At 41.3% G+C, this 12,031-nt stretch overlaps 1 protein-coding gene across 15 annotated transcripts in view; it reads right to left on the reverse strand.

Annotated features, from left to right (window-relative positions):
• MAGI2 (membrane associated guanylate kinase, WW and PDZ domain containing 2) overlaps positions 1–12,031 on the reverse strand; it is a 1,436,613-nt gene that overhangs the window by 139,157 nt on the left and 1,285,425 nt on the right. For all 15 annotated transcript variants that reach the window (XM_047421093.1, XM_017012845.3, NM_001301128.2 and 12 more), the window contains 2 exons: positions 11,705–11,897; positions 3,814–4,062 (listed from right to left, as the gene is read on the reverse strand). In XM_047421093.1, the coding sequence (XP_047277049.1) occupies positions 3,814–4,062; positions 11,705–11,897 (442 nt within the window). The remainder of the gene's footprint in view (positions 1–3,813; positions 4,063–11,704; positions 11,898–12,031) is intronic.

A 12,031-nucleotide genomic window follows, 5' to 3' on the forward strand; every position in this document is an offset into this window, starting at 1 on the left:
CAGTACTCCAGTTGCCCCCATTGCTGACCTAGGCTGTAATTTGGTGGGTAGTGAGAAAGACTGTGTTCCCAGAAGGGCCACATGTGGGGAAGGGGACAGGGAGGGGAAGCTTCCCTCAGAGATATGTTCATCTGTGGCCCAGATTTAGCTGCCCTGGGAGAGTGGTGGCTCTGACTAATGGCTAACAGAACCTATAGCCAGAGTAAACTCTGCACTACTCGACAAGAGTGAGCTGGTGGAATGAAAGATAATTCCTAGAAGGGATGATATCTAGATAGCAGCAATGACATATTTAGTGCTTACTCTGAGCCAGTGCTCTTTTGAGCACTTCCACATATTCATCGAACTCTCATGGCAACCCCATGATTGAGGTATTAAAGTGTTCTTTTCTTCACACCGAGGAAACTGAGGCCCAAAGAGGTCATGTAACTTCCTCAAGGTCACATGGTTAGTAAGTGATAGAGCCATGTTTCAAGTCCAGATAGGATGATTGTAGCACCTGGGCTGTTAACCATGCCCTTTTCTTGCTTAAATGTAATGATGCTCCTATCAAAAGCAAAACAGCACTTAGTCCACCAAGAAAAAGCTCCCGAAGCCACGAAAAAAAAAACAAACCCAAAAAAAAACCCCAAAAAACAAAAACAAAACAAAACAAAAAACAGTGAATATGTTAATGATCCTTGGGCTCGGGTAAGACCTGAAGAGTAAAACAATGCAAACTCTGGGAATGATCGTGATTCTTAAGTACCTGATAGCATAAACCTCGGTCAGTCTCAGAGAGCCCAAAACCTTTGATATTTTGACCAGGGATATGTGGCACAAGGATGGCTTTTTACCATTCACGAGACACTTCGCATTTCTCTTCAAAATTAGAATTCAAAATTATCACAGATGTTAAGTATGAGGTAGCATCAGCTCCAGGAAGCTTTTAGGTGCATGTTGCAAATTACATACTGTAAATGCAACGTGCCATCAGTGAGTAAGCTGCTTTTGCCACAGAGCACGGGGCAACTTGCATTTTAAACTCCCTAAATTGAAAAGAAATAAACATGTGAAGAAAAGCCATGAAGCATCATGAACTGTAGGATATATTTCCACTCTCCAGGGTGAAGTAAAATAATATCATTTTGAAAGTGGTTAGAATTAAATTTTGGAGGTCAGTCTGATGCCATTTGGTAGGAAGAAAAATTCACATGTTAATTATAAGCATTTGCACCTATTGTTTTCCAAATCTACTTATGCATGGATTTTATTTGCAATAGGAAAAGTGTTTGTAGTTTCTTTACATAGTAAGTGCACATGTACACATACATACACACACACACACACATTCCCCTATACATTTAGAAATAAGGCTGTTATACTTCAAACAAAGCTGAGACTTTAACTACATGCTAAACACTTTCATTGTGGCCATATACTTTTTATTTTTATTCTAGTCCTTTAGGTATTCTGCCCCAATAAACAATTGGAAAGACTGGAATGGCTGCAAAATCTCTCTGTGAACACCTTCCTCAAGTGTAAATTATTGGAAGGCTGTTTATATAATTCATGAAAATCCTTAGTTTTGTATCCTTTTAATCTTGGTGAATCCATCGTACTGACAGAATTCTGCTTTTAGTCTATGCTTAAAGATTGGATTTATTTCTTCAGCTTTTCATGAAGAAAAAGGGAAATGAAATTGTACTTTCAGATGTATGTAATTTGGCTTCTGCACATATTCGCTGAGGTTTAATGCTTCTGTAGTTTTCACTCCTGAATTTATCAAGGCTTAAGCCAAACAGGGCAATTCTCTCCATGAGGTTCTGGTGGTTTTCTTTCTTTCTTTTATTTTTATTTTTTTGATAACATTAACTTTATCACATAAAGTTCTTATTCATTCTCAACAACTTTATTTCTTGAGTATTGCTTAATACTCACCCCTCCCCTATCCCACATGTGCTAGAAACTCCCACAGTTTATAAGAATTTTAGGACTACAACGTACGTGCATTTATTTACTTTCTCTTAGTGCTCCTTTATTTTCGTGTTTCCATACCCAACATTTTGGGCCAAATCACTTCAACATGAAAAATGCACAAATTTTCCTATCCTCTCTTCTGTTCTACTGCTTGCAGGCTGCTGAATGAGCTCTGGAAGACTGTGGTAGAAAAGGAAAAACAACCAAGGAAGCCTGAGAATCTGAAAAGGTGGCCAGTTGGAAGACAAATATGGGCTATGACTGTCACCTGTTGTATAGGATCATAGAACCTTAGAGCTGGAGGAGCTTCAGAAGTTGCGTTCATCTACTTCTCCTCCCTCTACTGCTACCCAGGGGAGGGTGAAACTGCCTTTGCCAAATTGTAACCGAGGAAACTATGACAGTGGAAGAAATCAGACCTAACCGACTCCATCTTGCTTCTAATCTTTAAGTCGTCCTTGTTCATTCCTGGGCATAGGCCAAGCTAACTTTGAGAAGGAATTCAGTTCATGGTTTGACTTAAACAAAATTGATAACAGCTCTTTCCCTGAAAGACCCGCTTCTTGCCTGGGGACCAATCTGCCTTTGTAGGACTAACAAATTAGCCTCAAGATTAGAAATTACAGTTTAGGGGTCATGCAGCCTCTGGCTCCTAGAGTCTGAACCTCCCCAAATTGCTCCTGGGGATAACATCACTATTGTAAAACCTAAGATCAGTGCTTGAGATATTTTGCAGACCTTGCACTCAGTGTATCAGCTGACACCACCCAGACCAGTAATCTGCTTTAACCAGGTCTGCCATCCCACCCAGGAACAGAAGACAGCAAGAAAACCACACTTCGACCCCCTATGATTCCATCTCCAACCCAACCACATCAGCACTCCCCATTTCCCAAGCCCCTACCCACCAAATTATCTTTAAAAACTCTGATCCCTGAATGCTCGGGGAGACTGATTTGAGTAATAATAAAACTCTGTCTCCCCGCACAGCCGGCTCTACGTAAATTACTCTTTCTCCATCGCAATTCCCGTCTTGATAAATTGGCTCTGCTAGGCAGCGGGCAATGTGAAGCCATTGGGCAGTTACAAAGTCACCAGTGTCTCTGAACCTACAGGGATGTTTAAATGGCCTTCTGACTATATCTCATGCTTCCACTCTTGCTTTCTCCCCCACCCCCAACCCTTTGGTTTCAATTTCCACAAGCATTTAGACTCATCTTTTACAAATATAAGTCAGATTTCAGTCCACTGCTTAAAACCCTCCAATGGTTCCCATGGACTTAGACTACAGTTGAGACTTCCTACCAAGAGCACATGAAGCCAGCACTGTCTGCCTCCTGCCACTCTCCCTTGCTCCCCGTACTACAGCTGCACTGGGCTTCTCTATATTTCTTGGATGCCAAGCTTGGCGTCCACCTTAAGCCTTCTGCCTGGACTGATTTTTTTCTGCAGATCCTTTGCATGTCTGGTTCTATTCTGTTGAACAGTTCTCAATCAAGTTACTTACAGAACATTCCCTGACCAACCCATAAAAGGAAGCACCCCTCCTTTCAAGGCAACATTACCATATCACTCTGTTTTCCTTTCTTCCTAATTTACAAATGAATGAAGAGCTTTTATAGGGGTGGAGGAGTTGAGGGCATTAGTTGTGTTCTTGCCTTCTTCTTGAGCCAGAGGTCAGTAACTGTCTGCTAGTCAGTGGTATGGATGCCTTATTTGTGCCCACAGCCTGTGGCTTTCAGGCTATACAGTATGTCCGTGACAGTCTTCTGATATACTTGTCCGGTATCTGTATCACTGGAACAAATCAAAACAAGACCCCTTATTCAAATGCAGGCAAATTTCAGCACTTACTTATAGTGGATCCAGACTCAGGCCTGTTCAGGGAGCTGATGATGACAAAGCCGAAGCCCTCATTCTCTTTGCGGTGAATGACCACATCACTGGTCTGCAGGCTGTGGGAGGCGAAGCCTTCAGGGGGAGAGGCATTGCTACTGGGGGCAGCGTGGTTGCTGTTGGTGTAGGTTGCGTAGTCACTGCGTGGAGAGCTGTGGTGGGTGGATACAGAGCCTGGACTTCTCCCGTTCTCTGGGCAGGGCTCCCCTGCAAAATATACCACACACAGGTAATCAATTACCTTACAAGGGTCTCAATGAATGCTTCCTATGTACTAGGCACTGTTCTAGACAGTGGTATTGTTACAAGACTGGTTGAACTGCTTCTCTTTCTCCCAGATTTGCAGAGCATTTGAAAAGCTACAGACCTAGGCGTGGAGCTCCCAAGGTCTTGCTCAGTCCTAGTTTTCATAGCAAACAGAGGTGAAACCCCTCATCAGCCTCCTCTGTGCTGTTACTGATTTATATCTTCATCTCATGAGGACTGCAAACCCCTGGGACAATGCCTAGTTTTAGATATTGAGGTTCTTCTTTGCATAAGAATAATTTACTGAAGATGGTCACAAAACAAGTAGAATCTTACATGATATGGTGCATAAGAATCACTTAAATAAATTGTAAAAAAAAGTACATCTTCACGGGCCACCCACAGAATGTTTTCTCAGTAGGTCTGGGCACAAGAATCTGCATCAAGTTTCAAGGCTACACTTCGAGAAATGCTGCTGTAGATGTATTATAAGGAAGGCTAACAGCACAGGTGCCATCCATGTAAAGTTAACTATCATGCATTTTTCTAAAGAGCTATAGTTCTATTTTATAATATTCTGCTAGCCTAGAAGTATTGATTTACTTCATGTATGTGGAAAATATACTTCTTAAAAGTAGTTTGCACAGCTTTTTGTATATCAGCCATATCACAATGAAGTGGCTTAAAAGAATAAATAAATAAGTTGAGATTTTCATTTAAAAAATAGCTTGCTTGCTCTAGGATCAAATCTAATTTCAGGCTCTGAAATTATGAAGTTTGAACCTCTAAGGAGCTGTTGAAGGTCTTTTCCATTTTTACAGTCCATCTTAATATAAAATACACCCTATTATCAACCAGATAAACCAAACTAATACTTTCATGAGAAAAAGCCAGCATATTTCCATGGAGAAATGATAGAAAGTTGGCAGCCAAAAGAAGCTAGTTTTTGAAATGAAAGTTTATCTGTCATCCAGAAAGAATTTCGTCATTTTAATTTAATACCTAGGTATTGGCACTCTGATGAAAAGAACCGAAGCAGGCACCTAGAATAATGTAATTAGAAATAGGGTTGCTTTCATTTCCATCTTAAAATTTGATTAGTGTACTCAAAAGATGTTTATGGAACAGAGGAATAATAAGATGGAAAATAATCACCATTAATTATTCCATTTTGGGTCCCTAGGTATAGCATCCTATGTAGAACTCTGGAAGTTGTTGCATATGGCAAATTAAAAATAATTTTCAAAAGTTCCAATGAAGGCTCTTAACCTTACAAGCTGCAATTCCATTTTGAGATGAAAAAGTCAGGGAGAAAAAACAAAGACTGCAAGAGACGTTTTGTTACATCGATACCTAAAAAAAAAAAAAAAAAAAAGAAAAAAAAAAAGCTGTATTTGTTTATATACTTAGATTTTAAAAAATGGCCTAACCAAAATATACTAATTTCTTGTTTGCAATTACAGAATGAATGAGACCCAGGCTGTTGCTCGTTATTATTTGGTAAATTTGATTTTTCTTTAAGATCTAATTAATCACGTTTAAATAAAGGAAAAGATGGATGCTTTTTGTAAGAAATGTACCGAGGTCATAAGAGAACAGAATGTCAATGTCAAAGCCTTTCTTTCTGTTCAAATGGAATTTAAAGCTTCGCTTGTAAAATGTACCCTCCCTGCTGGACAAGTTGTTATTGTCTTGGTGCATCACATGTCCTTTATCAGTCCTTGTACAAGTGGGAAATAAAGTGATTAGGGATAGTCAGGAAGAACAAAAACAAACAATTATTATGCTGCTACATTAAATTGAAAATCTCCTCGAGTTATTGGACCAAACCAGTAACTAAATGTCATAGGCAGTGACAAGAGAGATCTCATTTTCTGGCTGTCATATTTTAGGAGGTTGAGAGCTGTGATTGTCAGTAAGTCAGCAAGAAAGAAGAAGCGCGGTGGCTCACGCCTGTAATCCCAGCACTTTGGGAGGCTGAGGCGGGCGGATCACGAGGTCAGGAGATCGAGACCACGGTGAAACCCCGTCTCTACTAAAAATACAAAAAAAAAAAAAAAAATTTAGCTGGGCGCAGTGGTGGGCTCCTGTAGTCCCAGCTACTCGGGAGGCTGAGGCAGGAGAATTGCGTGAACCCGGGAGGCAGAGCTTGCAGTGAGCCAAAATCACACCACTGCACTCCAGCCTGGGCGACAGAGCGAGACTCTGCCTCAAAAAAAAAAAACAAAAAACAAAAACGAAAGAAGAATTATCTGTCTTTGCAGTAAAAGGCTGGGAGTGGCAATGTTACAGGTTCTGGAGAGAGAGAAAATCATCAACTAAGTCAATGTGAGGATTCCCTGGGTAAGTCAAAGAGTCATATACATTAATAGGATACTTTTCTATTGCCTTTGGACTTCTCTTTCAACTTCCAGAACAAAGTTCTTTATCTTTAGCCAAATGAGCATATTTAAAATCAGGAAGTTAAGAAGACTTCGAAGGTCTTCCTGGGCTTGTTCTGGGCCCTTGACACTTAAAAACTGGTCACATGATTGTCTTTCAGGGATTGACCCCACATCATTTTTCTACTCATCTGGCTCTGGACCCAAGTGAGACGGTCTTCTTTCCAATGGTCTTTCCTACTGTAGGGCATTAACAGCCTTGTTTTATAATAATATAGTAAAACATCCTAAAGTGACTAAAATTCATGTATTATATAATTTTTTTAAAGAAAATTCACTAATTTCTAGGATCCCTGACTCATTCATCTAGCTCATACACAAGTGGCTGCATAGAATTCAATCACTTAGTATCTACTAAAGTCAAATAATTAGTTTAGTTTGTTTGTTTGTTTGTTTTGTTTTGAGACAGAGTCTCACTCTGTCGCCCAGGCTGGAGTGCAGTGGCGCGGTCTTGGCTCACTGCAAGCTCTGCCTCCCGAGTTCATGCCGTTCTCCTGTCTTAGCCTCCCGAGTAGCTGAGACTACAGGCGTCCGCCACCACGCCCGGCTAATTTGTTTTGTACTTTTAGTAGAGACAGGGTTTCACCGTATTAGCCAGGATGTTCTCGATCTCCTGACTTTGTGATCTGCCTGCCTTGGCCTCCCAAAGTGCTGGGATTACAGGCGTGAGCCACCGTGCCTGGCCTAAATAATTAGTTTTTAGGGTAAGCTGTTTCGTCTCCACCAGTCACAGTGGAACTCATCACTGTGCTAAGAGAGGGTCTCCCATTGGGAATGTGGGAGTCAGTGACAATGCCTGCCAGGTAAGATGGTGTAGACCAGTACATTTAACTATTGGCCAAGAGCTGTTTCTGGTCTGCACAGTGCTGGCCTATATTTCATTCGATAATTGTTAAAACTAATTGCCCTTTGGGAGGCCGAGGCGGGCGGATCACGAGGTCAGGAGATAGAGATCATCCTGGCTAACATGGTGAAACCCCATCTCTACTAAAAATACAAAAAAATTAGCTGGGCGTGGTGGTGGTCGCCTGTAGTCCCAGCTACTTGGGAGGCTGAGGCAGGAGAATGGCAGGAACCCAGGAGGCAGAGCTTGCAGTGAGCTGAGATCGCGCCACTGCACTCCAGCCTGGGCAACAGAGCAAGACTCCGTCTCAAAAAAAAAAAAAAAAATTAATTGCCAATGTTTGTAAATAGGGAGATTTTTATAGAAATACTGATTTCCAGTTTTTCTTGACACATTTGGCACCAGTTGGCTGGAGCTCAGTGATGGCTGCTCCTTCAACTGGGTATGGGGTTTGCAGGTCACCACAGTCCTGCCCACTCCCCAAGACCTCTTGCAAATACCTCATTTACTCATTTATTCACACAGTGAGGAATTCTCAGGGCTGAAGGAACTTGTTCAACTGGACCCTTGGTTTCTCTTCTAGACCATATGCTACATACCAGGACTCTAGAATTCTGTAACCATATAGACCTTGCCTGCTTCCAGGATGTGCCTGGGTCTCTTCTCAGGACTGTCTTTGGAAGGATGACAGCATTGCAGACAGGCATATTTTGCCTTGAAGCATGGCTGAGGCAATGGGATGTATGTATGGACAGAGCTTGGTCATGTGGGCTGTGATGTCCACATGCATGTGTACCAGGTCCCTCATGGTCCTTATGGGGCAGGAGCAGCCTACAGGCTGTGGCCCTGAAAATGTTAGGGGCTGGCCTGCCTATAGGCATTTGTGCAGACATTCCCAGTTTATACTCATCAAGGCAGACAGCTTATTTAAATGGGTGACATGGTTGCAGACAAACAACAAGGGAATGCATTTAGAATTGGCAAAAAGTGTAGTCACCAGGATCAGGGAACGTACTGGCACCTTCAATACTGGCTAAACTTTTCACCCATCTGCCAAGACAACCTCCCCTTTTTTGGCATTAGGCCAAGAATTAGACTTTCCCTTAGGTGTTAGAGAAAAGATGCTGATAGCTTTAAGACTGACTCTAACATGTTTTTATGAAGTCATAAAATGTTCTTTCACATCAATTCTAGATTTACACTTCAGGAAATTCCTCAGAGACATGGTGTGCATCCAAAATAATGTGCCATTAGCTTGAATGTCTCAAAGCTGATCTGCTAAACATATAAATATTTATGCTTTTCAGTATAATAATTAAAGCCACTCTTCTCATATCCTTGGGAAAAAAAACAACCAAATACTGGAGCTGGAGGCATGGATAAGGCATCTTCTCTCAAAACTAATGCAAGGTGAAAGTGTGTGCTATGACTATTTGGTAAATAAAACTGGAGGCAATTTATTATCCATAGTTGCCTACTGAAACAATAAAATAAAAATAAATGAATAAAAGAAAAATTGGAAGCACTACCCGATAGCCTCTTCCTTTACTCAACAACTTCTCACTTTTGAGAATCTAGTTTATCTTCTGATTGGAAATTCTGGCTTTCTAGGCCAGGCATGGATCACTGAGGCAGAAGGATCACTTGAGCCTGGGAGGTTGAGGCTGCAGTGAGCCATGATTGTATCACTGCACTCCAGCTTGGGTGACAGAGTGAGACCTTTTCTCAAAAAAATTTTTTGCCTTTCTATCCTTAGCATGTACATTTAAAAATAACTTAATATTTGGGGCAAGTTTTTGTGTTATCTTAGTTTTTGCTCAGTGTAACTAACCTTTCTGTATCTCTCATAATGAACGTGTTCTCTTTCTTGAGCATCAGTTAAAAAGCCAGTGCCCTCTGTCTTCTGAGGTGGGGCGGGCATTTGTATAAGCTGAGGCAAGGAGAAGGCGGAAGCGTGTCATCCCTATGACCTTGCTTCTTCCTAGCCCTTTTCCCACACACAGCACTGCTCCTCTGTGCAAGGGGGTGGCGATGCTGCTCCTCTTCCTGCTGCTATCTCTTCCTTAGCTAATTGCTCACTTCCCCTCAGCTTGGAACCATCCACTCCTAAGCCAGGCTTGCACCTCCCACTGCCTTTGCTTAGGAAAGCATAATAATAACAAAACGACAATGACAGCAACAGTCCTTGAAAAGGCATCTCCATTGTCATATTCATTTGTAGTTGTCCCTTCTCACTTTGAAGAAATGGCAGCTATGAAGAAAGGTCACCTTTCCATGCCTGTTTTTTAAATCTTTTCCATCCTATTTCAAGGCATTACTTTGCTATCAAAGTATCCTTTGCTGAACTTAATATTTTCAATACTGATGAAGCTTTCAAGGAAGAGTGGGCTGAATAAACTTGGAAACTCTCCTGGTGTGAACGAGCAATCTGCAGCATAACATTTTCAAAAATTAAATGCACTTGAAATGCACTCAAAAGCCTAACTGAGTAAAGTTGGTAAGAGCTGCAGCAAAGAGCATCTTTACGGAAGTCACATGATCCACAAATTGCAGGAATACATTTTTGCAGCATTTGGTACACACTTCAACAGCTCGGGTTGATTAAAAGAAAATTTAATTTGCAATAATCAGCTGGTGACAAGGGGAGCATGAAATTATGTTGGTGCATTGGTTTTGCACTTTGTGGTATATTTCCTTGTAAATCAGGTATCTTTTTAATTTATCTTTAGGTTATAGAACATACAGCACAGCAAACTTTTTATTAAAAATTACTCTGCGGGGAGAGAGACAGTTAAATGTTAACCAAGCAAGCACTGTCTTCCTCCTGGCATCTAGCCCAAGGATAAGGCATAATTTAAGATGCTTTACTTCTTTGGGTCAAGTGACATGCCATGAATTTCTGAAGACAAATGGCACCTCTTAGCAAAACCTCTATAAGATACAAGATATATAGCAGTCTCTACTGGTGAGGGCTAACAATTCTTTTGACTTGCCCTTTTAAATGACCGCCCTTGCTCATGGTCTAGTTTCTAGGGGGACTTAGAAAGAAAAGGATTTTTCGTCACATGAATAAGCCTTATCCTCTCTACTAGTCATTCACAGCCTGTCATTAGCCTGTGGTCCTCTTCTAGAATGCAACTGGTATAACAGCACATATGGGAAGACTCCCTGTATTAGGGAGTGACATTTGCTAAGTTCTGGCCTAACATCTTCTAATTCTCTAGGGGAGAGGATTGTGGTTGAATGGGGTAGGGGACAAAGTAACATAAAGAAATAAGCACTGGCCTTAGAGAGAAGAGTCCCTCTCTGCATTGTCACAGACTCACTGTGGACTGCTGGGCAAGCTACCAAACCTCTGGGCGTCAGTTTCTTCATCTGTAACAAGATGAAGCTCATATAGCTAAGGTCCTTCCTACTTCTAGTATTGATGATTCTGTATGAGGGCTATCAAGGGGTCAAGCAGAGAAGCCAGCGGGCCGCTGGGGCAGAAGGTGACAGATGAGCATTATTGGAGCTGCTGCCCCTGTGATTCACAGAACAAAGGCTGGGTGGTTCTGAGGGGAGGTAATACAATCCCAATGTTATTGAATGCTCAGATTCTAAAAAAACTGTGATGCTTGTAACTGACATATTCCTTAAAAATATAAATAATTTTTTATAGGGTTGATATGGTAAAGAGAGATAAGTGGAATCATATTATAAATACAAAGGCTGACTTTGAAAAGTATGTCTTTGGTGGATTCCTTTATGAAGCTGAGAAAATGGTTGTAAAGGGAATGATTATTTCCAATTTATCTGTTACATAAATTTGGAACTATATGAACTGTGTTTTCTTGGAGCGAGGTACAGCTGTATTTTTTCTATATCAGGAGCAACAGCTTTATTGTTACCTTTTATCAGGCTGTACAATGAAAGCTAATTTTCCATCCTGGTTGCCTCATTATGGCATCAAAATGCTGTGGCTCTTGGTTTGCAAACACATTTTCAAATGGCATATTTTCCATGACTATCATGTTCTTCTTAGAACTAGAAACTACCAGAAAGCAGAGAGCATACATACCTTAAATTAGCCCCAGGCTATTCTAGAAATTTTTAATGAATACATTTAAAATGCAGGCCTCAAAGACTGGATTTTTGTCCAGTGGGGTGAAAATCAGCACTTTCAAAATCATCATTACTTTTGGAATATCTAGGTTGTTTCCTTCCTCATATAATGTAGAAATGGATTTAAAATTTTGTTTCATGTGGCCTTACCATGTCTCACAAAAGCATCTTACCACCTAACCCTCGATTCCTGCAGCAGGCTCCAGGTACATACCTCCACATAGCACCTTTCTTCTCACAGTGAGGTTGACCTGCCCATTGCGGGCTGCGTGGTGCATGAGGTCGATGACATAGCGGTGGGTTTTGCCGGCTACTGGAATCCCATCAACATACACAAGCTCATCTCCTGGGTGAAGGCGGCCATCTCTGTCGGCTGAGCCCATGGCAATGACAGCTCCAATCAAAATCTAGAGAAGCAGTGAGAAGGAAAGGACATTCACATTTCAATCCTTTTTCCTTTTTTTTTTTTTTCGAAACAGAGTCTCGCTTCGTTGCCCAAGCTGAAGTACAGTGGCCCAGTCTCAGCTCACTGCAAGCTCTG

Source organism: Homo sapiens, chromosome 7 (assembly GCF_000001405.40).
Source record: "Homo sapiens chromosome 7, GRCh38.p14 Primary Assembly".
Lineage (NCBI taxonomy): Eukaryota > Metazoa > Chordata > Mammalia > Primates > Hominidae > Homo > Homo sapiens.